Source organism: Homo sapiens, chromosome 9 (assembly GCF_000001405.40).
Source record: "Homo sapiens chromosome 9, GRCh38.p14 Primary Assembly".
Classification (NCBI taxonomy): Eukaryota; Metazoa; Chordata; class Mammalia; order Primates; family Hominidae; genus Homo; species Homo sapiens.
Genome location: NC_000009.12, coordinates 100,237,777 through 100,263,783, shown reverse-complemented (window position 1 = coordinate 100,263,783; position 26,007 = coordinate 100,237,777). Strand labels below are relative to the sequence as shown.

The window sequence follows — 26,007 nt, the reverse complement described above, 5'->3', positions numbered from 1 at the left end:
TTCCCAAAATCAATCATATGCTGGGCCATAAAGTTCCAAAAAAAATAATGCACTCCCTCACAAAGATGTCCATATCCTAGTGCCTGGTACCTGTGAATATGTTATGTTACATGAGAAGGAAGAATTAAGGTTGTAGATGGAATTAAGATTGCTAATCAGCTGAACTTGAGATGGGAAGATTATCCTGGATTATCTGGGTAGGCCTGATCTAATCACAAGGGTCCTTATAAGGGAAACAGGGAGTCAGGAGGGTGAGTGTAAGAATTATACAGATAAGTGATACAGAGAAAGGCTCAACCAGCCAATGTGGCTTTGAAGATGGAGGAATGGGGTCATCAGCCAAGGAATGTGGGCAGCCTTGAGAAACTAAAAAATTAAAAAAATGGATCCTCTCCTAGATCCACCAAAAGAAAAGCAGTCCTGGTGACACCTTGATTTTTAACCCAGTAAGGCCCAGTTTGAATTTCTGACATCTAGAATGGTAAGATAATAAATCTGTGTTGTTCTAAGCCACTAAACCTGTGGTAATTTGTTACAGCAGCAATACATAACTAATATAATCAATTTAAAAAATGAGAAAACACTCAACTGACTGAAAATTAAACAGTACACTTCTAAATAATCTATGTGTCAGAGAATAAACCAAAATAGAAATTAGGAAATAGAAATTAGAAGTTAGAAAATAAAAAAGACAGGAGCAAGACCAATGAAATAGTAAACAAACTCAAAATACAGGCCAGTTGCAGTGGCTCATGCCTGTAATCCTAGCACTTTCGTAGGCTGAGGCAGGTAGATTGCTTGAGCTCAGGAGTTCAAGAACAGCCGTGGGCAACATGGTGAAACCCCTTCTCTACTAAAAATACAAAAAATTTAGCCAGGTGTGGTGGTGTGCACCTGTAGTCCCAGTTACTCAAGAGGCTGAGGTGGGATGATCACCCGAGCCTGGGAAGGTTGAGGTTACAATGAGCCATGATCATGCCACTGCACTCCAGCCTGGGTGGCAGAGTGAGATACTGTCTTAAGAAACAAACAAACAAACAAGCAAACAAAAAAACCCAAAATCTCAAAATATAGAAAATCCACAAAGACAGAAATAAGTCCTTTGAGGAGATGAATATCAAGTTTTTTTTTTTTTTTTTTTTTTTAGTGCTCCAGGTAAGGAATAAAGAAAATTTTTAAAAAAGAAAGAGAAAACACACATTACCAATATATGAAATAAACAAGAGGAACTCACTACAGGTCCTACAGGCATAAAAAAGATAAGGGAATATGTGTGTGACAAAATTTATGCAAATACATTTGACATTTTGAATAAAATGAATAAATTCCTTAAAAAGTACAACTTACCAAGCTGAAAGAAAAATAATTAGAAAATCTGAATAATTAATGGAATTGAATTGGTTATTTAAAACTTTTACACAAAGAAAACCCCAACACCAGATAACTTCAAGAGGAAATTCTTCCAAACATTTAAGGAAGAAGTAATACCAATTTTATTCTCCAAGAGAATAAAAACAAGGGACTATTTTCTAACTTTTTTTTTTTGACAAGGTTAGCCTTACCTTGCTACCAAAACCTTGCAACTATAATACAAGAAAGGAAAATTATAGGCCAATCTCTCTCATAAACATAGACGCAAAAATCTTAAAATATTAGCAGGTAAAATACATCAGTATATAAAAGTACATAATATATATGGGGCTTACTCCAGAAATGCAAGGGTTGTTTAACATCTAAAAAAAAAATCAGTCAATGTAATTTGCCATATTAACAGAAAAGAGGAAAAAAAAATCTTGTTGATAAATGCATAAATAGTATTTGACAAAAACCCAACTATGATTTAAAAAAACTCTTGGCAAGTGGGAATATAAGGAAATCTATAGCAACATCTTACTCAATGGTAAAATGTTGAAAGCTTGCCATCTGAGAAACCAGAATTAATTAAGGATGCCAATTATCACCAATTCTATTCAAGATTGTATTGAAGGTTCCAATTCAATATGGCACAGCAAAGAAATGAAAAGTATAAAGATTGGAAATGAAGAAATAAAAATGTTATTATTCACAGATAGCATGCATGATTGCTTATGTAGACAATCCAAAGCAATACACATAGCAGCTAATAGAACTGGAAAGATGCTTAATATTCTACTTATGTAAAAAACTGGCAACTTGGTAAAACATTAAAAGTACTACAAATTATAAAAGATGCATTCCTCCCAGGTGCGGTGGCTCATGCCTGTAATCCCAGCACTTTGGGAGGCTAAGGCAGGCGGATCACAAGATCAGGAGATCGAGACCATCCTGGCTAACATGTTGAACCCCGTCTCTACTAAAAATACAAAAAAAAATTAGCTAGGCATGGTGGCAGGTACCTGTAGTCCCAGCTACTTGGAAGGCTAAGCAAGAAGAATGGCGCGAACCCGGGAGGTGGAGCTTGCAGTGAGCTGAGACTGGGCCAGTGCACTCCAGCTTGGGTGACAGAGCGAGACTCTGTCTCAAAAAAAAAAAAAAAAAAGATGCATTCCTAGTATCATAAAGACATGGACCATATTTTACATACTTTTCTTTGTTACTTTTACATACAGTAACAATCTTGATAAATACTTGTTCAATGAGTTCATAGGGACTTGAGTTAATAGGGACAGCTAATTTTCTGACTTGGAAAACATAATTAACATGCAAATATTTTTAAAGAGTTAAAATAATTTAATTAGCAAAAAAGTTAATACTGGCTAAACTGAGATAAATTAATACTACGCAACTGGGGAAAGTAAAGATTAACCTGAATCTTTTAGAAATCAGTTTGGCAGTATATATGAGAGCCTAATCATATTAATAAACGATTGGTTGCTTTGATTTGATAATCTCACTTAGGGGGAATTATTCTAATGCGATAATCCCAAAGGAAAAAAGTTAAATGCACAAAGATAATTACTGAAACATTACCTATAATAGTGAAAAAGTGACCAGCAATAGGAAGTTACTTATTTAACCTATATTTGGGTTAAGAGCATAGTTTGGATATTAAATCTCCCCCCAAGCTTCCCCCACTGTTGTTATCTTAGGCTAACTACTTAAACTACATGAGCTTCAATTTCCTCATCTGTAAAATGAGAATAATAATAGTAACTACTTTATAAGATTATTGTAAGGATTGAATAAGCTATTAAACATAAAGTTCTTGGAACCTTGGAATTTTAAGCATTCATGATAATTAAAAAGATTATATATCACATGAGAAAACGGTGACAATTTTAAGTAAACAAAATGTGGTTTGAAAATCATGTAATAGGCAGGCACGGTGGCTCACACCTGTAATCCCAGCACTTTGGGAGGCCAAGGTGGGTGGATCACGAGGTCAGGAGTTCGAGACCGGACTGACCAACATGGTGAAATCCTGTGTCTACTAAAAACATTATAAAAATTAGCCAGATGTGGTGGTGCATGCCTGTAATCCCAGCTACTCGGGAGGCTGAGGCAGAAGAATCGCTTGAACCTGGGAGGTGGAGGTTGCAGTAAGCCGAGGTTGTGCCACTGCACTCCAGCCTGGGTGAAAGAATGAGACTCTTGTCTCAAAAAAAAAAAAAAAAAAAAGAAAAGAAAATGTAATAGGTCGGACATGGTGGCTCACATCTGTAATCCTAGCACTTTGGGAGGCTGAGGTAGGCAGATCACAAGGTCAGGAATTTGAGACCAGCCTGGCCAACATGGTGAAACCCCATCTCTACTAAAAATACAACAATTAGCTGGGCATGGTGGTGTGCGCCTGTAATCCCAGCTACTCAGGAGGCTGAGGCAGAAGAATCACTTGAACCCAGGAGGCAGAAGTTGCAATGGGCAGAGATGGTGCCACTGCACTCCAGCCTGGGTGACGAAGCGAGACTCCATCTCAACAAACAAAAAAAGAAAAGAAAAGAAAATCATGTAATAGGGTCAGGTGTGGTGGCTCATGCCTGTAATCCCAGCACTTAGGGAGGCCGAGGCGGGCGGATCACCTGAGATCAGGAGTTCGAGACCAGCCTGGCCAATGTGACGAAACCCCGTCTCTACTAAAAATACAAAAATTAGCCAGGCATGGTGGTGGATGCCTGAGAGGCCAAGTACCCTCTCAGCTACTCAGGAGGCTGAGGCAAGAGAATCGCTTGAACCCGGGAGGTGGAGGTTGCAGTGAGCCAAGATTGCACCACTGCGCTCCAGCCTGGGAGGAAAAAAAAAAAAAAAAAGGCCCCAGTTCCAAGATGGCCAAACAGGAACAGCTCCAGTCTACAGCTCTCAGCATGAGTGATGAAGAAGACGGGTGATTTCTGCATTTCCAACTGAGGTACCGGGTTCATCTCACTGGGGCTTGCTGGACAGTGGGTGTGGCCCATGGAGTGTGAGCCAAAGAAGGGTGGGGCATCACCTCACCCAGAAAGTGCAAGGGGTCGGGGAATTCCCTTTTTCTAGCCAAGGAAAGCCGTGACAGATGGTACCTGGAAAATCGGGACACTCCCACCCTAATACTGCGCTTTTTCCAATGGTTTTAGCAGACGGCACACCAGGAGATTATATCCCACACCTGGCTCAGAGGGTCCCACGCCCACGGAGACTCACTCACTGCTAGCACAGCAGTCTGAGATCGAACTGCAAGGCAGCAGCGAGGCTGGGGGAGGGGCGTCCGCCATTGCTGAGGCTTGAGTAGGTAAACAAAGCGGCCGGCCAGGAAGCTCGAACTGGGTGGAGCCCACCGCAGCTCAAGGAGGCCTACCTGCCTTTGTAGACTCCACCTCTGGGGGCAGGACATAGCTGAACAAAAGGCAGCAGAAACTTCTGCAGACTTAAACGACCCTGTCTGACAGCTTTGAAGAGAGTAGTGGTTCTCCCAGCATGGAGTTTGAGATCTGAGAATGGACAGACTACCTCCTCAAGTGGGTCCCTGACCCCCAATAGCCTAACGGGGAGACATCTCCCAGTAGGGGCCGACTGACACCTCATACAGCCAGTTGCCCCTCTGAGACGAAGCTTCCAGAGGAAGGATCAGGCGGCAACATTTGCCGTTCTGCAATATTTGCTGTTCTGCAGCCTCCGCTGGTGATACCCAGGCAAACATGGTCTGGAGTGGATCTCCAGCAAACTCCAACAGACCTGCAGCTAAGGGTCCTGACTGTTAGAAGGAAAACTAACAAACAGAAAGGACATCCACACCAAAATCCCATCTGTACATCACCATCATCAAAGACCAAAGACCAAAGACCATAAAACCACAAAGATGGGGAGAAACCAGAGTAGAAAAGCTGAAAATTCTAAAAATCAGAGTGCCTCTTCTCCTTCAAAGGAACACAGCTCCTCGCTAGCAACACAACAAAGCTGGATGGAGAATGACTTTGACGAGTCGACAGAAGTAGGCTTCAGACGATCGGTAATTACAAACTTCTCCGAGCTAAAGGAGCATGTTCGAACCCATTGCAAAGAAGATAAAAACTTTGGAAAAAGATTAGACGAATGGCTAACTAGAATAAAAAGCATAGAAACGACCTTAAATGACCTGATGGAGCTGAAAACCATGGCACAAGAACTACATGAGGCATGCACAAGCTTCAGTAGCCAATTCGATCAAGTGGAAGAAAGGGTATCAGTGATTGAAGATCAAATGAAGGAAATGAAGTGAGAAGTTTAGAGAAAAAAGAGTAAAAAGAAATGAACAAAGCCTCCAAGAAATATGGGTCTATGTGAAAAGACCAAATCTACATCTGATTGGTGTACCTGAAAGTGACGGGAAGAATGGAACCAAGTTGGAAAACACTGTTCAGGATATTATCCAGGAGAACTTCCCCAACCTAGAAAGGCAGGCCAACATTCAAATTCAGGAAATACAGAGAATGCCACAAAGATACTCCTCGAGAAGAGCAACTCCAAGACACATAATTGTCAGATTCACCAAAGTTGAAATGAAGGAAAAAATGTTAAGGGCAGCCAGAGAGATAGGTCGGGTTACCCACAAAGGGAAGCCCATCAGACTAACAGCAGATCTCTTGGCAGAAACTCTACAAGCCAGAAGAGAGTGGGGGCCGATATTCAACATTCTTAAAGAAAAGAATTGTCAAACCAGAACTTCATATCCAGCCAAACTAAGCTTCATAAGTGAAGGAGAAATAAAATCCTTTACAGACAAGCAAATGCTGAGAGATTTTGTTAGCACCAGGCCTGCCTGACAAGAGTTCCTGAAGGAAGCAGTAAACATGGAAAGGAACAACTGGTACTAGCCACTACAAAAGCATGCCAAATTGTAAAGACCATCGATGCTAAGAAGAAACTGCATCAACTAAAGAGCAAAATAACCAGCTAACATCATAATGACAGGATCAAATTCACACATAACAATATTAACCTTAAATGTAAATGGGCTAAATGCTCCAATTAAAAGACACAGACTGGCAAATTGGATACAGTCAAGACCCATCAGTGTGCTGTATTCAGGAAACCCATCTCATGTGCAGAGACACACATAGGCTCAAAATAAAGGGATGGAGGAAGATCTGCCAAGCAAATGGAAAACAAAAAAAGGCAGGGGTTGCAATCCTAGTCTCTGATAAAACAGACTTTAAACCAACAAAGATCAAAAGAGACAAAGAAGGCCATTATATAATGGTAAAGGGATCAATTCAACAAGAAGAGCTAACTATCCTAAATATATATGCACCCAATACAGGAGCACCCAGATTCATAAAGCAAGTTCTTAGAGACCTATAAAGAGATTTAGACTCCCACACAATAATCATGGGAGGCTTTAACACCCCACTGTCAACATTAGACAGATCAACAAGACTGAAAGTTAACAAGGATATCCAGGACTTGAACTCAGCTCTGCACCAAGCGGACCTAATAGACATCTACAGAACTCTCCACCCCAAATCAACAGAATATACATTCTTCTCAGTACCACATTGCACTTATTCCAAAATTGACAACATAGTAAAGCACTCCTCAGCAAATGTAAAAGAACAGAAATTACAACAAACTGTCTCTCAGACCACAGTGCAATCAAATTAGAACTCAGGATTAAGAAACTCACTCAAAACCACTCAACTACATGGAAACTGAACAACCTGCTCCTGAATGACTACTGGGTACATAACAAAATGAAGGCAGAAATAAAGATGTTCTTTGAAACCAATGAGAACAAAGACACAACACACCAGAATCTCTGGGACACATTTAAAACACTGTGTAAAGGGAAATTTATAGCACTAAATGCCCACAAGAGAAAGCAGGAAAGATCTAAAATTGACACCCTAGCATCACAATTAAAAGAACTAGAGAAGCAAGAGCAACCACATTCAAAAGCTAGCAGAAGGCAAGAAATAACTAAGATCACAGCAGAACTGAAGGAGATAGAGACACAAAAAACCCTTCAAAAAATCAATGAATCCAGGAGCTGGTTTTTTTTAAAAGATCAACAAAACTGATAGACAACTAGCAAGACTAATAAAGAAGAAAAGAGAGAAGAATCAAATAGATGCAATAAAAAATGATAAAGGGAATATCACCACCAATCCCACAAAAACACAAACTACTATCAGAGAATACTATAAACACTTCTATGCAAATAAACTAGAAAATCTAGAAGAAATGGATAAATTCCTGGACACACATACCCTCCCAAGACTAAACCAGGAAGAAGTTGAATCCCTGAATAGACCAATAACAGGCTCCGAAATTGAGACAACAATTAATAGCCTACCAACCAAAAAATGTCCAGGACCAGATGGATTCACAGCCAAATTCTCCCAGAGGTACAAAGAGGAGCTGGTACCATTCCTTCTGAAACTATTCCAATCAATAGAAACAGAGGGAATCCTCCCTAAATCATTTTATGAGGCCAGCATCATCCTGATACCAAAGCCTGGCAGAGACACAACAAAAAAAGAGAATTTTAGACCAATATCCCTGATGAACATCGATGCAAAAATTTTCAATAAAATACTGGCAAACCAAATCCAGCAGCACATCAAAAAGCTTATCCACCATGATCAAGTGGGCTTCATCCCTGGGATGCAAGGCTGGTTCAACATACACAAATCAATAAATGTAATCCATCATATAGACAGAATCAAAGACAAAAACCACATGATTATCTCAACAGATGCAGAAAAGGCCTTTGACAAAATCCAACAGCCCTTCCTGCTAAAAACTCTCAATAAACTAGGTATTGATGGGACGTATCTCAAAATAATAAGAGCTATTTATGACAAACCCACAGCCAATGTCATACTGAATGGGCAAAAACTGGAAGCATTCCCTTTGAAAACTGGCACAAGACAGGGATGCCCTCTCTCACCACTCCTATTCAACACAGTGTTGGAAGTTCTGGCCAGGGCAATCAGGCAGGAGAAAGAAATAAAGGTATTCAATTAGGAAAAGAGGAAGTCAAATTGTCCCTGTTTGCGGATGACATGATTGTATATTTAGAAAACCCCATTGTCTCAGCCGAAAATCTCCTTAAGCTGATAGGCAACTTCAGCAAAGTCTCAGGATACAAAATCAATGTACAAAAATCACAAGCATTCCTATATGCCAACAGACAAACAGAGAGCCAAATCATGAGTGAACTCCCATTCGCAATGTCTTCAAAGAGAATAAAATACCTAGGAATCCAGCTTACAAGGGATGTGAAGGACCTCTTCAAGGAGAACTACAAACCACTGCTCAATGAAATAAAAGAGGACACAAACAAATGGAAGAACATTCCATGCTCATGGATAGGAAGAATCAATATCGTGAAAATGGCCATATTGCCCAACATAATTTATAGATTCAATGCCATCCCCATCAAGCTACCAATGACTTTCTTCACAGAATTGGAAAAAACTACTTTAAAGTTCACATGGAACCAAAAAAGAGCCCGCATTGCCAAGACAATCCTAAGCCAAAAGAACAAAGCTGGAAGCATCACGCTACCTGACTTCAAACTGTACTATAAGGCTACAGTAACCAAAACAGCATGGTACTGGCACCTAAACAGAGATATACACCAATGGAACAGAACAGAGCCCTCAGAAATAATACCACACATCTACAATCATCTGATTTTTGACAAACCTGACAAAAACAAGCAATGGGGAAAGGATTCCCTATTTAATAAACAGTGCTGGGAAAACTGGCTAGCCACATGTAGAAAGCTGAAACTGGATCCCTTCCTTATACCTTATATAAAAATTAATTCAAGATGGATTAAAGACTTAAATGTTAGACCTAAAACCATAAAAACCCTAGAAGAAAACCTAGGCAATACCATTCAGGACATAGGCATGGGCAAGGACTTCATGATTAAAACACCAAAAGCAATGGCAACAAAAGCCAAAATTGACAAATGGGATCTAATTAAACTAAAGAGCTTCTGCACAGCAAAAGAAACTACCATCAGAGTGAACAGGCAACCTTCAAACTGGAGAAAATTTTTACAATCTACCCATCTGACAAAGGGCTAATATCCAGAATCCACAAAGAACTTAAACAAATTTACAAGAAAAAAATCAAACAACCCCATCAAAAAGTGGGCGAAGGACATGAACAGACACTTCTCTAAAGAAGACATTTATACAGCCAACAGACACATGAAAAAATGCTCATCATCACTGGCCATCAGAGAAATGCAAATCAAAACCACAATGAGATACCATCTCATACCAGTTAGAATGGCGATCATTAAAAAGTCAGGAAACAACAGGTGCTGGAGAGGATGTGGAGAAATAGGAACACTTTTACACTGTTGGTGGGACTGTAAACTAGTTCAACCATTGTGGAAGACAGTGTGGCGACTCCTAAAGGATCTAGAACTAGAAATACCATTTGACCCAGCCATCCCATTACTGGGCATATACCCAAAGGATTATAAATCATGCTGCTATAAAGACACATGCACACGTATGTTTATTGCGGCACTATTCACAATAGCAAAGACTTGGAACCAACCCAAATGTACATCAATGATAGACTGGATTAAGAAAATACAGCACATATACACCATGGAATACTATGCAGCCACAAAAAAAAGATGAGTTCATGTCCTTTGTAGGGACATGGATGAAGCTGGAAACCATCATTCTCAGCAAACTATCGCAAGGACAGAAAACCAAATACCGCATGTTCTCACTCATAGGTGAGAATTGAACAATGAGAACACTTGGACATAGGGTGGGGAACATCACACACCGGGGGCTGGTGTGGGATGGGGGAAGCAGGGAGGGATAGCATTAGGAGATATTCCTAATATAAATGATGAGTTAATGGGTGCAGCACACCAACATGGCACATATATACATATGTAACAAACTTGCACGTTGTGCACATGTACCCTAGAACTTAAAGTATAATTAAAAAAAAAAAGAAAATCATATATTTATGTTTATAGATGCATACATGTGTATGCCATGTAATCTTTTATAAAAGTTATAAAATTATTCCCAGCCTATATTATAACTATGTTAAATTATATATATAGAAAAAGACTGGAAGAGAACATGGACAAATAATAGTCATGATTAACAGATGGATTTGTGGGTGATCTCTTCATCTTGTAAACTGTTGTTTTACTTATGTTTACAACAAAGAAGAAATACTCTAAATTCTTTGGAGCAAACAATATAGAAAAGACAGAATTTCTACCTCTTTGTCTTGAATGTTAGGGTCTGCATTGTTTTCCATGAGAACTGCCATGCAGTTGATATAGCCTCCATATGCTGCACACTGCAAAGGGGTTCTTCCTGCATAATCCTGGACATTTGGATTGATCTTATTTTCTATTAATATCTGGCAAACATCAGCATTTCCTCCCAGTGCTGCCCAATGTAGAAGAGAATGTCCATCTTGGTCAACTAGATCTACCCTTGCTCCACCTGGAAAAGCACAAATATAATGAGAATGTCTAATATAAATAGCTTTTATTAAAATGAGTAGGAGTAGAAAAAACAATTGTTCCTTAAATGCATTTATTAAAATGAATAGAAGAAAAACAATAACAATTGTTCCTTTAATGCTTTATTCTTATGGAAATGCTTCCACATACGTTGTCTACATCAGATTTTTACAATAAGCTTGTAAATTGGACTGGCTAGGAATCAGTCCCCCTTTATATAAAATAAAAGTGAAGATCAGGCAGGTGAAATTACTTTTCCTGTATCAAGCAACTCCCAACAAGTGGAGCTAGGAGTAGAACTTGAGGTTCCTCATGCCATGTTGTGTGATCATCCCTTCATCCTTGTACTTGTGCAGCTTTCTGCTAAGGAAAGCTTTATCTTAAACAGAGTATGCAAGAATTCCTACCTGTTAAGAGAGACTTATTAGGAGTACTCTTATTAGCCCACCTTTAATGAGTGTCTGAATCACATCTTTGTGTCCCATCTCACAGGCTCGGAAAAGTGGAGTATGTTTCATAACATCAGTAGCATCTACTTGAGCATTATTTTCCAGTAATAACTTCACGGTGCTGACATGGCCAGAAAGAGCAGCAGCATGCAAAGCTAAAAGGGAACCAACAGAAAGTGATGAACTAGTCAATAACAACTTCACCTTTTAAATTATTATATGTCTTTTCCTCTCTTGATTTCCCCATCATTTTGAATAAATGCAATCTCCATTTTAAGGATTCACTAATTTATTTTTTGCTTTTTTAGATTCTGCCTTCCTTCCTATTCATATGTATTACTCACACTTTCTCCTTTCCTTCTACCTTTCTCTTCTTGCTATTTTCTTCCTTTCCATCCTGTTGGTCTGAAATGGTATCCTCTTCTCAGCTACTAGTTTTCTCTTTTCAGCTATTAGTTTTCTCTTTTTCTCTTTAAGAGAGCAAGAAAACAATAACAAAGAGGAATGATTTAAATGATGTACACAATTCTGCCCAACAACCCACTCAATAAGCATATGCCCCTAAGGGGTCATGTGACTGGAGACATCAATCTACTGTTCCTTCCATTGGTTACATGCACTGTTCCTTCAGTTGGCTGAAGTACCCCAGTGGTACTGAAAGCACGCACATCTTGCTGCATTGAGTGCATTTTTAATACAATATCAGCTACAAGCCAGCTACTTCCCCAGGGCTCAATTTAAGAAACAGCGAGGTGGCACATGTCTATAGTCCCAGCTACTTGGGAGGCTGAGGCAGGAGGACTGCTTGAACCCAATAGGTCTAGACCAGTCTGGAGAAAATAGAAAGACCTCATCTCAAAAAAAGAAAAGAAAAGAAACAGGAATTTGCTTCACTGGAGAAAAACTGAGATGGAATATGGCCTCCTCTCTTGTGCTGTCCAGAGGTTTTAAAGAGTAATTTTGATTAAATGTGTTTCATGTACACTGACTCCTCTCTATGTTACTCCAGTGTAATGCTTGGCTTATGCCATCCCTCTATAGGTTTGAATTAGCCACAATAACACTTTAGAGGCCTTGGCCAGTTCTAAGTATTATGGCTCTATAAGGCCTAGAACAATGTCTCTTTCATAAAGGGTGATCCACAGAGCAAACCTGGATGCAGATTTTTGGGCTGGGTAGTATTATAATGCTGGGTGTTTAGCAAAGAATACAATAGATAAGGTTACATTCTAGGAAGGGAAGCAAAACAAAACAAAAACAAAACAAAACAAAACAAAAACAAAACAATTCCCCATCAATAAAGTTATTATATAGTGATAATTGGTATAATTAAAGTAATAAAAACTATTTTGATATGTAGAATCACTGAGGGACTACTTTTGATTGGTGGTTATGAGCTGACATTTAAGTTGAGACCTGAACCATGAAAAAGACAGCGTATTTTGAGCAAAGGGAAGAGTTAGTACAGGACAGGAACGACTGTGTATGTTTAAGGAAGGAAGGGTAGTTGCAGCACAGTAAGTGACAGTGGAGTAAGTCAGAAACATAGAAAAGGCCAGATCACAAATGGTCCTATCAGTCAGTGATGGAAGACATTTGAAGGGCTTTATATAGTGGAGTGATATTATCTGATTTATGCTTTAAACAGATCACTCTAGCTCTTCTGAGGAGAAAGTATTTGTAGTAGATTAGAATATAAGCAGGGAGACCAGTAAGGATTTTGGCAGTAGACTGAGTGAAAAATGATGGTGGTCTGATTAGGGTGGTTGCAATGGAGATGAAGAGAAACAGAATGATTTAGAACACATTTTGGAGGTGGAGTCAACAGGACTTGCTACGGGATTTGACATAGAATCTTTGTCCATATAGCCTGGGAATCTGAATTTAAACACCTCTAGTAATTCTTATGCCATTCTTGAATTTGGGAACCACTGACCTAAATGACTGAATGTTAGTTTGACCTAGACAAGATTCAGACAGGCGTGAGTAACTTCAAATATCTGAAGTGCTATAACATGAAAGACAGCACAGGGTAGAACATTCACATTTACAGATGAAAGGATATGACTCTAGAATTTTTTTCAAAACAATCAGAAGTAGAGGAAATGAATCGTGGTTAAATAAAACAAGATTAGCCACGTATTGATAATTGTTGAAGCTGGGTGAGAGCTATATTGAGTTCACTGGACAACTGTCTACTTTTGAATGTGTTTGAAGATTTCCATAATATAAAGTTATATTTTTAAAAAATTAAGTTTCTATATAAACTTACAGCACTTTTCAAAGAGGGAGTAACAATAGCTAAATTCAAGGTTATTTTTATTTTATTTTTTGAGATGGAGTCTCACTCTGTCATCCAGGCTGGAGTGCAGTGGTTCAATCTCAGGTCACTGCAACCTCCACCTCCCAGGTTCAAACGATTCTTCTGCCTCAGCCTCCCAAATAGCTGGGATTATAGGCGTGTACCACCACACCCAGCTCATTTTTATAATGTTAGCAGAGACGGGGTTTCACCACGTTGACCAGACTGGTCTCAAACTCCTGACCTCAGGTGATCCACCTGCCACGGCCTCCCAAAGTGCTGGGATTACAGGCGTGAGCTACCACGCTCGGCCTAAGGTTATTTTTAAATAAAGTAAATTCAGGCCAGGCGCGGTGGCTCATGCCTGTAATCCCAGCACTTTGGGAGGCCGAGGTGGGTGGATCATTTGAGGTCAGATGTTCAAGACCAGCCTGGCCAACATGGTGAAACCCCGCCTCTACTAAAAATACAAAACTTAGCCAGCATAGTGGTGGGCACCTGTAGTCCCAGCTACTAGGGAGGCTGAGACAGAAGAATCACTTGAACCCGGGAGGTGGAGGTTGCAGTGAGCTGAGATCATGTCACTGCACTCCAGCCCGGGCAAGAGAGTGAGACTCTGTCTCAAATAAATAAATAAATAAAAATAAATTCAAATAGTCATAAATGGGGAATTTCCTTTAATATGATCATTAATTTTATCTTTTACTTAATTGAAATTTTATTTTTTAAAAAAATTTGACATTGATATTATCTATAGAGTATATTTCATACTTGATGCCACACCACAGAATTGTAGCATTTCAGAATTAGAAGTCACCTTAAAACTAAATGTAGCCCAGGGTTTTCCAAACCATGTTCTTCAGAACAACAGCTTTCTATAGAGGTACCTGAAATACTTAGCTGAGGGAATAGACAGTCGAGTGGATAATGCTCCACTTCTGATTTAGTCAGAACCACTCAACCCTTACTTGCTTTATATGTTAGGTGTTTTATAAATTTTCATTTGGGGGAAAAGGGTTCCCCCCTTTTCATTTGGGGGAAAAGGGTTCTTATGCTCTTCAAATGTGAAATCACTGAAATATCACAGATATTATATGATGCTTTCATCTGCCTTATGATATTCTCAGCACTTTGGGAAGAAGCTGAGGTGGGAGGATCGCTTGAGCCCAGGAGTTTGAGACCAGCCTGGGCAACACAGTGAGATCCCATCTTATTATTACTATTATTATTATTTTTTAACTTTTTTTTTCTAAAAAAAGAAAATGAGACAAAAGCAAGAGCAGGACACAAACAGAAAGATGTAATCCCTTGTCCATCTTCCAGCCTTCCAGTCTCCCTCCAATGCTCTCTATTGGTGGACTCTAAAAGAGCACCTGTGGCAAAGGGGAAATGTGATTTACAGAGACCCAGGCCCAGCATTGCAAAGAAAGGACAAAAGGATCAACACGAAGCTGAGAGACAATAGCTTAATCACTGGTAAAACCATAATGCTGTTATCACGCCTAAAAAATACTAATAGAAATTCTATAATGTTCAATAATATTGACATTTTCCTGATGGCTTTAACATTTTTTATAGTTTATTTATTTAAGTCAGGATCTAAATAATGTCCATACATTGCTATTGGTAAGACCTCTTTTTAATGGGAAGGAAAAAAAAAAACCCTGTAGAGGGATGACGGAGAGGAACTCACTTTCACAGAAAAGAAATGTCAGGAAGGCATCTCTGACATAATAAAATCCCCATTGAAGAAAGAAACCAGCAAATTAATGAATCTGAGAAGAATTTATGTCTGAACTTCAACCATGGTGCATATGAGATACTTTTGGTCAAAGAGTGCAAGTATCCTTGCCCATGCCTTATTCAAATACCTGAAAAAGTTAAACTAAAATCAAAGCTAGTGATAAAGTGGAAGAATATATAATGGAAAACTGACAAAAAATTAAATGTTCAGATCATTTATAAAGTCAATATCCTATGTGTCTGCACTATGCCCCTTAAGAAATTTAAGATCTGCTGGCCGGGCACGGTGGCTCACACCTGTAACCCCAGCACTTTGGGAGGCCGAGGCAGGTGGATTGCTTGAGCTCAGAAGTTCGAGACCAGCCTGGGCAACATGGTGAAACCCCGCCTCTACTAAAATACAAAAAGAAAAAAAAATTAGCTGGGCGTGGTGGCGTCCACCTGCAGTCCCAGCTACTTGGGAGGCTGAGGCAGGAGACTTGCTTGAACCTGGGAGGCAGAGGTTGCAGTGAGCCAAGATCATGCCACTGCACTCCAGCCTGGGTGACAGAGTGAGACTCCGTCTCAAAAAGAAAAAAAAAGAAATTTAAGATCTGCTGTAAGGCTTTCATAGAGAAATACTTTTGAAAGTTAAAGTCTTTATTGTAAAATTGAATTGTCTTCTTAAAATATTTTTTTTTGAGGCTGTGGTTGTCTCGGTATAGGGAGGGAGATTTTTTTAAGTAAAGCAACTCCCCTCCCTTCTCTCTCCCTACTGTTGCATCAGTAGTTTTGGTGGCCAAGAAAAATCTTATTCAGGATAACAGTAGATGCAAATGGCTCTAGCATGTTTCTACAAATAAAAAAAATAACATGGAGAAGCCCATCACTGATTTTTTATTCTATTCAGTGTTATTGTGGTGGTATGTGATTTCTCCTTCTGTTTCTGAGTTGTAAGTACGATACAGTACACAAGGAAGAGACCTCCAAGTTGACACTGAGGCAGAAAAACTACCTTTCATTAACCAACACATAGGTAAAGGCCTCTTCTATTAGAGAAAGAAATTAAAAGAAGTATCTAGTAAGAGTTTTTCAAGCAAGGTTGATTTGAAGCTTTGAAGCATCTTAGAGCCATGGGAGGTTCTCTCTAAAAATGGGAGATTCAGGATGTGGTAATGCTATTCAAAACTGAGAAAAGAGCACAGTAAAGGAGACTGGTGAGAATACACTTAGATGTGTGCATTCCTTAAATAAAATTCTAAATTTTTGAAAATATAATTCATGACTACTAAATATGGATAGTTTTAAAGTGTAGGTTTTTTTTTTTTTACAAAAAGATAAATGATCAGAAGAGTCCCCATAATCATGTCTAAGGAGCAACCAGGGTTTTAAACCAAATGCAACCATTCATTTGGTAGAAACATGCTAATCTTTGCCATAATACTTGGAAGAAATAAAACCTTTGGAGTGACATCCTGGCAAACCCAAACTTAAAACTGAAGACCAAAGTCAAACAATATTAGATTAGGAACAATGATTTCAAGTTGCTATTTTACAAATTTTATAGCAACATCTACACTTTGGAACCTAAATGAAAGCAAATTGAATGTGTCCACCAGTTCTCACCTGTACCTCCATATTTGTCAGCCATGTTAATATCTATGTCCGATTTTAAGCTCAGCATAGTTCTAAGGACATCATCACTGCCTTTGCCAGCTGCCCACATAAAGGATGTTCTTCCTTCCAGGTCTGAATCATCTTTCACTGAAGGATGTTTTAAAAACACTTTAACCGTTTCCTGTAAGAAAACTTGATTTAAAAAATGGAGACAAAACAGTAGTATTTTCTGTGGTAATAAAGTCATATAATAATATGTGAATTCCATTAAGAAGCAAAGCATTTTCCCCTTGCTTTTGAATCAAATTAAATTATCTTTTTATTAATGACAGAACTACAATTTCCATCGAAGATAACAATCCTCTGTCCTTACAAATTAGTTGTAGTGTCCATAACACTTCATAAACATAACCTAACTCTCCCATTCAACATCCTCAAAATGGAAAATAATCATCTTCAATCAAGCTTGGAAACTTTATAGGTCATCGTTTGAGTGAGAGTTAGAAAACTCAGAAGTATTCAGTGTTTTATTTATTAATGACCAAAATTTAAATCTTTCTTTCTGCCTTGTTCTCTTCTCTTCTCCATCCTTTTTCTTTCTTTCTTTCTTTCCTTCTTTTCTTTTTTCTTTTTCTTTTTTTTTTGAGAGGGAGTCTTACTCTGTTGCCCAGGTTGGAGTGCAGTGGTGCAATCTCGGCTCACTGCAACCTCTGCCTCCCAGGTTCAAGTGATTCTCCTGCCTCAGCCTCCCAAGTAGCTGAGTGTCATCACACCCGGCTAATTTTTGTATTATTAGTAGAGATGGGGTTTTACCATGTTGGCAAAGCTGGTCTTGAACTCCAGACCTCAAGTGATCCATCCATCTTGGCCTCCCAAAGTGCTGGAATTACAGGCATGAGCCACTGTACCTGGCCCATAAAATACATGTTTTCTTGGACATTTTACATGAGATCCATCTATTCAGGCATGCCTCCAGAGAAGGTTCTGCATTCTCTCACTGTGTTTTTTGTTTGTTTGCTTTTGCCTTAAATCCAGAACAAACTGGAACTATGTGATTAGTTACTAAACATTTTTGAAATGGTTAATGCATTTATTGAATACTGATTGATGGTTACTGAGAAATGCAGTGCTGAATTCATTAAAACAAATATTTATTCAGCAATTCCTTTATTACTGAATTGTCCTTCTTCTATGGAATCATACAAAAATTAGGACTGGGCCGGGCGCAGTGGCTCACGCCTGTAATCCCAGCACTTTGGGAGGCTGAGGTGGGTGGATCACAAGGTCAGGAGATTGACAGCATCCTGGCCAACATGGTGAAACCCCGTCTCTACTAAAATATAAAAAAAATTAGCCAGGTATGGTGGCACATGCCTGTAGTCCCAGCTACTCGGGAGGTTGAGGCAGGGGAATTGATTGAACCCGGGAGACGGAGGTTGCAGTGAGCCGAGATTGCATCATTGCACTCCAGCCTGGGCAACAGAGTGAGACTCCATCTCAAACAAAAACAAAAACAAAACAAAAACAACAAAAAAAATTAGGACCCTTGACAATTCTATTAGTGCCTGACAATTTTATTGGGGGTTAATATTCCAGCATTTTAAATTGCCTCTTTATTCTGAACTCAGACTCACATAAACTTTAGAAAGATCATAGAAACTTTTGATTGAATGGAGGTAAAAGAGTTTCAGACAAAAAGTGCTGGAGGCTGTGATCTGATCAAAAATGTATAAAATGTTGATTCTCAGTATTTTATAGAAAGAAGAATTCAAGGGCTCATCTAATCCAGTTCCTTATTTTACTGATGAAGAAATGTAGGTTCCAAGGTCATATAAATATTGGTGGCAGATAAAGGAAGAATCCAGGGTTAAATCACAGCACTCCTTCCACAGCATCACACACTGCTTTCTACTTTTAAGACTATTTGTTGAGTTACTGAGGTAAAAGTTTGTGATTTTTTGCTTTGTTTTCTTTTACTAATTTGCAAACATTTCTTTGCTGAGTATGTTTTTACTTAATGATGAATGTTTACAGGGCTCTGTGTGTGTAGGGGAATGTGTCTGCATTTTTCAAGGAACGAGTTGTAATTTCTTGTCAGTTAATAGAGGACAAGGAGATCAAGGGACTTGAAACTGAGCTTATATAATTTGTATAATTATTAAAAATCAACTCTGGAATTGGCAGATTATCCAACAAAATATTTCTTTGAATACAATTATTATATTATTATATTATTGAGTCATTATAAAGAATAATGTTCTACCATTCTTTCTTGTTTCCATTAGCACACCTATTTAATTATTGGTGTCTGTATATATATATTAAATTTGGAGTCTAAATTTTGGGTTCAAGACCATGAGCAAGTCATTTAATCTCATGGAACCTTGTTTTGTTTTGTTTTGTTTTCTGTAAACAGGGGATAACATGACTTATCTAATAGCCTTGTGTTGATTTATGGGTTGAGCTGTGATTTCCATAGATTGACTAGACTCGGTCAGGTTAATTTCCTATCTATTTGTAATAAGAAAAAGCTTCTCCTAAAATACTGCTTTGTTAGGTGATAATAGATAATGATTTGTCAAAACTCTAGGTGGTAAATTGAATAAGTTATTAGGAATACAAGAAGCAAGGATTATAGGAATAGTTGTTCTGGATACCAGAGTAGGAAGTGTGTGAAGATAAGATATTTTAGAGATCTGAGTATTTAATAGAGCATTTGGAGAGGTCACAAAGATGAAATTATACTACGCTTGATGATAGTATTATTTATTTATTTATTTATTTTTGAGATGAAGTCTTGCTCTGTCGCCCAGGCTGGAGTATAGTGGCGCTATCCTGGCTCATTGCAACCTCCGCCTCCTAGGTTCAAGTGATTCTTCTGCCTCAGCTTCCCAAGTAGCTGAGACTACAGGCGCCAGCCACTTCGCCCGGCTAATTTTTGTATTTTTAGTAGAAACGGGGTTTCCACCATGTTGGCCAGGCTGTTCTCGAACTCCAGACCTTAGGTGATCCGCCCATCTCTGCCTCCCAAAGTGCTGGGATTACAGGTGTGAGCTACTGTGTCCGGCCTGATAGTATTATTATAATTTGATGAAACGAAGGGTTTCACTATGCATACCCATGTAGAAGGCAGCAAAATCTGTTTTAACATGTGCATCCTTGGATGAATCTGGTTCTTGATGGTCATTCATACTCAGGAAGCTGAAGTAGCCTAGACACTATCATGTTGCAGGGTGGACTGGGGACATAATGGATGAGAAAGTAGAGGGGAAGAACTATGAATACTATTCAGTATTTTTGGAAATAATTCGTTTTTGCATTCTCAGACGTATAATATACATAATTATCAACACTAGTAGTAATGAGAGCACATTCTATTTCTTGAGTACCTGCTCTATGCTAAGGTATACAGCAGGCACTTGTCATAAATTTTCTCTAATCTTTACAACAATCCTGGAAGAAAAGGTATAATTATCCTCATCTTACATATGAAGAAACTAAGATTAAGAAACTTGTGTAAGGTAATACAGTTTAGCAAACTGCACAGACAAGATTCTAGCCGAGATTGTTCTAGTTCCAAAGCCTTGCCACACTGCTTTAAGGACAATTACACGTGGCTGAACACTAAGATGTTCTTAGTGCTATAAAAGTAATATAAAGATGAAGTATTCTTACAGTAAAGTAAAATGTTATGCTTAACATTAAAATAAAATCTGTATAAAACTTCAGATGTGACTAACAACTTAAAAAAACCTCAGGCTATCACTTGCATCACAGAGTGAACAGCATGAACCATTGTTAAAAGATAATTGCTACATAAAAACAGACAAATGAGTCTAAGTAAATCTGGGCAAAGCTGAATAAGATCAGGGATTGTATCAATGTCAATTTCCTGTTTATGATATTGTATTGGATGTTATCATTAGAGTGAATTAGGTGTAGGAGTGCAAAAAGCTTATTGGAAAAATAAATAAATAAATAAATAAAAACAGAGTGAACTAGGTGAAGGGTACATGCAATCTTGTTGTATTATTTCCTACAACTACATATGAATCTACAATTATATAAAAATAACAATTTTCACTAAGAAAAAAGAGCATTGTCTTGTTTTACTTACAGCAAAGTTACTCTGAGCAGCATAGTGCAAAGGTGTGGCTCCTTGGCTGTCAGATGGGATAGTTCCAGACTTATTTCTTTCTAAAAGGAGATGGACAATCTGTGCATGGCCTGAGAAAAGACACAAAAAGGTAATTATCACTTATAAAGGATGTTAATTAATTTATAATCTATTTAAATGAAAAAGATAAGAAAAATCACTAACATAATACAGCATTCACAACGGTTTCTGAACAGCAGCCCCCAATGCAGCCTCTTCTAACTTCTCACTAACATATTAATATGAGGTAGAACAGAATGAAAACTTACTAAAAACTTAATGCTTCAATCAGGTAGGAATGAATTAAGTATAATTGCCAGGCTGAGAAAAAACTATATTAGGTATCACCTCATTGCATTTCCTGGCTTCACTTTATAAAGCTGCCTAAAGCAAAGGAGGGGAAGGTGCTTTAGAGCCAAGCCCTCTTAGCCTTCACTGCTCCTACTCTCAAGGTTCCGTTGCCCAACCAAACAGAACTGCATAACTGTTCTCTTCTATTCAGGTGGACAAACTATAACACAACCTCTTCTATCTCTGAGGCTTCCCATCCCTATATTCTCCTTTCCACAATCTTTTATTATATTTATATTTTATAACATCTAGGCAGTGATTTCAAATCTCAGAAAACAAGTGGGCAGGCATGATAAGGCAGCGATGAAGACAATGTAGTGCATTCTGGAGGATGTGATCTCCACAAGTGAAGAGCTGTAGAAAATATTAAAAAATGAATAAACCTGGTAGTAGCATACGTAGGAAACCTGAAATTTCATACACTCTATTGCTTTCAGATATTGGAGAATGAAGAAGATGCCCCATTAGCAGAGCAAGGATATACTGCATAAAAGCCAAGCAGAGAAAAGTAATTTGAGTGGAAATTGTGTTCATCTATCTGCTCTCCAGAGGTGGTCTAAGATGGAGTTCTCCATAACACAAATGTGGGATTAAAGACAATCTTTGCCACATAGTTACTCTAAACACATATCATTTTGTTTGAGAAATAAAGGGAAAAATTCAGTAAGGACTACAAAAAAACATACTATAGGAAAGTGAAAAAGAAACACTGTCAGGAAGATAAGCAGCATACCTCTGAAAATGATCTAGAGAAGGATCCAGAGGAAAATTTCAGGCAACTGGTATCCTCGACTTAGTGCAAAAAGAGATGGCTTCTATGAAACAGAAACAGGGTATTCTAAGAAGAAAACAGAGTGAAATGAAAAAGTAATGGAAGGAAGTTAAAAGGAAATGAAATGAGATAAAAAGAAATATAGGTAAGACAAGGAAATAAAAATAGAACCCAAAATACAATCTATATAGGAGGCAGAAAGAAAGCAAAACTTATAGAACAAAAAGTCAATTTAGTTACATGGAGACAAATTTGCCAAGTAAGCCCAGAATCCAGAAGAAAAATAAAAAGGGATGTAAGATGAAATCTGAATAATAATTCTAAATCTGGCGATAAAAGTGAGTGCACATATAAACATCATTTAAAAAAAAGATAATGTGTAATTTAAAAACTAAGATCAAGATTATAATAATTAGGGGGAAATCTCAGATTACATTAACAAGTACTAAAAGAGTGATGAGTATCTGTGCTAAATTTTTTGTCTTAAATAGGTGGGAATCAATAGATGCATTTTTGCTCTTGACTCTGATTCAGGCTTTAAAAAGTTTTTGATAAATTTAAAAGTAGCCACTCCTAAACCCTCCTAAAACATTAGGCAATTCAAAATCAAATAACAACATCAAATCTAATCCATATACCAAAGAGCAGAAAGCAAAGGAAACAGGAAACAAAACAAAACAAAACGTTAAGCTGAAAACACTAAGAATAGAAAGATAGCAGGAAAAAAAAAGACCTGATTATTTATCTTATAACAATGACTATTAATGGGTAAAACTCCTTCATTGAAAGAGAAAGACTCTCAGATTGACTCCACACACAAAAAACCCCAACATACACATAAAACATACACATATATACACTCTCTCATCTATAAAAGTGATCTTCAAAAAGGTTAAGTAAAAGGCATTTCAGGAAAATATAAAGAAAAAAACTCAAATATCATAGTATTAGCATAAACATAAAATTAAAGCCCTCCTCCCCAAAAATATAGGCGCTGAATGTGAAAAGAGGTTTATGTTACATTCACATGTTGTCACTAAATGTGAATTACTTTTATAACAAAAATTTAAAGTGAAGATATGATGTTGAAATTAAAACTAATATTTAACATAAAATAAATTTATATTACTATAATTTAGTTTATAAAACAATGCAACATATCAGTTAGAAATCAAAATAATTAACTAGGAGTTGGGAGTAAACAGTGGAAGGGAAGGCACAGAAATATTCCTATACTCATGAAGTTCCTTTTACTGTTGATCCTTTGAGTCACGTACCTAATAAAGCTGCCCAGTGCAGTGGGGTTCGAAATAAGTTATCATAAGACGTTATATTGCAGCTTTCATATGAGGTCAAGACATCAACCACGGTCACATTCCCATCAGCAACTGCAAAGTGAAGAGGAGTTCGACCCTCGTAGTCTTGCCAGTTCAGTAAAGACTCTGTTGGAGCAGCATCCTGATTTGAAGGAACCAGAGACTTCAGACATACATGGAATCCTCAATAAATTACATTTGGTGTAAGTATTTTTTTCTTTCTTTCTTTTTTAGAGACAGGGTCTTGTTCTGTCACCCAGGTTGGAGTACAGTGGCATGATCACAGCTCACTGCAGCCTCAAACTCCTGGGCTCAAGCAATCCTGCCTCAGCTTCCCAAGTAGCTGGGACTACAGGCACATCCCACCACACCTGGCTAATTTTTGTGTTTTTTGTAGAGATGGGGTATTGCCATGTTTCTCAGGCTGGTCTTGAATTCCTAGGCTCAAGCAATTCTCCTACCTCAGCCTCCCAAAATGCTGGGATTATGGTGTGAGTCACTGTGCCCAGCCTGGCACAGGAATTAACTGAGGAATTTTCGAAATAAGACCTCTACATTATCTCTCAGCACAAGTGATAAATCATGGAAAAGGTACAAAGTCTAAATCTTTAAAAAATTATTTTCATATTTAATTATAAAAAGTACAGAAAATAATATAACCATTACATACTGATTATCTAGATTAAAAAGGTGTCAACATTTTGCCTGATATGCTTTTGTTTCTGTTATCATTCAACTAAAGATGTATGTTTTTATACTTTTGTATATATGTATGTATCCATAAACAATATATAAATTTTGTATGTGTGTTTTCAAATGTTTACATTATGGCAACGGACATGTATCCTTTGGCAATTCTTTCTCTCAACACTATACCTTGGATATCTATGTTGGTAATAGTTCAATTATTGAGGTGCTTGAATAAACCACAATATAGTTATCTATTTTCCTACTGAGGAACATTTAGGCTATTCCCATTTTTTTTCACTATTACAGACAATGCTGCAATTAATGTTTCCTTTACATATCCCTTGTAGCACATGTGTGAGATTTTTCCATAGGCTAGACAGCTAGAAGGGGAACTGCTGGGGTGAAGGATATCTTCAAACAGGTATTGTCACATCACTCTCCAAATGGTCTTACCAATTAACACTCCCATGACAATATGTAAAAGTTTTTATTTCCCTACATGCTGGCAGAAATTAATCATTTGGTATTATCAAGCTTACTGCATTTTTCCCTTATGGTTATGAAAGACATTTCACTGCTATTTTAACTTGTAGTTCATTTATGAATGGGGTTGAGATTTTTTAATCATGTGTTTATTAGTGAGTTCACAATGTTAATTAATTTTTCTACTGGATCTTTATAGCAAGCATTATCAAAATTACCAGGCAGATTTGAAAAAGAACCAAATAGAACTTTTAGAAGTGAAAAATGTCATCACAAAGATTAACAGTTCAATGGATAGGGTAAACAACAGGTTGGACTTATTTGAAGAAAAACTTAGTAAACTCGAAGACAGATCTGATGTCATTACCTAGGACGCAACAGAAAGAGACAAGGAGATGAGAATATAAAAGAGAAGTTAAAAGACATGGAGGATTAGATAAAAAGCCTTAAAAGATATATAATTGGAGACCCTAAAGGCAAGAGTAAAGGGAATGAAGGAGAGGTGATATTTAAAGATAACAGCTATATATGTTTGGCAGAACTGAGATGCAATAATCAGAATGTATACCAAACAGGATTTTTTAAAAAGGCCACACCTAGACACACTGTAGTAAAACTGTAGAATGCCAAACAAAGAGCAAAATGTAAAAGCAGCCTGAGAGAAAAGATACATCATGTATAAAGGAATGACAGACCAATAACAGACTCCTTAAGAGCAATAATAAAAGGCAGAAAGTAGCAAAATAATATGCTGAAAGAGCTGAGAAAAATAGATTCCTAGGACTGTGTACACAGGATAATCATTTTTTTTTCAAGAGGCATACATTCTTAACAATTAAAAAGGAGAGTTGGCTGGGGGTGGTGGCTCATGCCTGTAATCCCAGCACTTTGGGAGGCTGACGTAGGTGGATCACTTGAGGCCAAGAGTTCAAAACCAGTCTGGCCAACATGGTGAAACCCCGTCTCTACTAAAAATATAAAAATTAGCTGTGCGTGGTGGCATGTGCCTGTAGTCCCAGCTACTCAGGAGGATGAAGCAGGAGAATCACTTGAACCCAGGATGCAGAGGTTGCAGTGAGCTGAGATCACATCACTGCACTCCAGCCTGGGAGACAGCCCAAGGCTCTGTCCCAAAAAAACTAAAACCAAACAAACAAAAAACCAGAGAGAGTTGACCACCGAAAGATCTATACTAAAGGGAGTCAAGAGGACAACTCAGCAAGATGGCCAAATAGGAACAGCTCTGGTCTGC

The 26,007-nt window shown here is 38.0% G+C and overlaps 1 protein-coding gene across 4 annotated transcripts in view; it reads right to left on the bottom strand.

Moving 5' to 3' along the window:
- The window catches only part of INVS (inversin), a 202,933-nt gene that overhangs the window by 38,392 nt on the left and 138,534 nt on the right, over positions 1-26,007 (bottom strand). For 3 of the 4 annotated variants that reach the window (NR_134606.2, NM_001318381.2, NM_014425.5), the window contains 5 exons: positions 23,544-23,724; positions 21,105-21,214; positions 16,997-17,168; positions 11,346-11,501; positions 10,648-10,877 (listed from right to left, as the gene is read on the bottom strand). Coding sequence is in view for 3 of the 4 variants with exons in the window: in NM_001318381.2 (NP_001305310.1) it covers positions 10,648-10,877; positions 11,346-11,501; positions 16,997-17,168; positions 21,105-21,214; positions 23,544-23,724 (849 nt within the window). In the remaining variant the exon portion in view is untranslated. Of the gene's footprint in view, positions 1-10,647; positions 10,878-11,345; positions 11,502-16,996; positions 17,180-21,104; positions 21,215-23,543; positions 23,725-26,007 lie in introns of all 4 variants that reach the window. The other variant, NM_001318382.2, reaches the window with a different exon arrangement.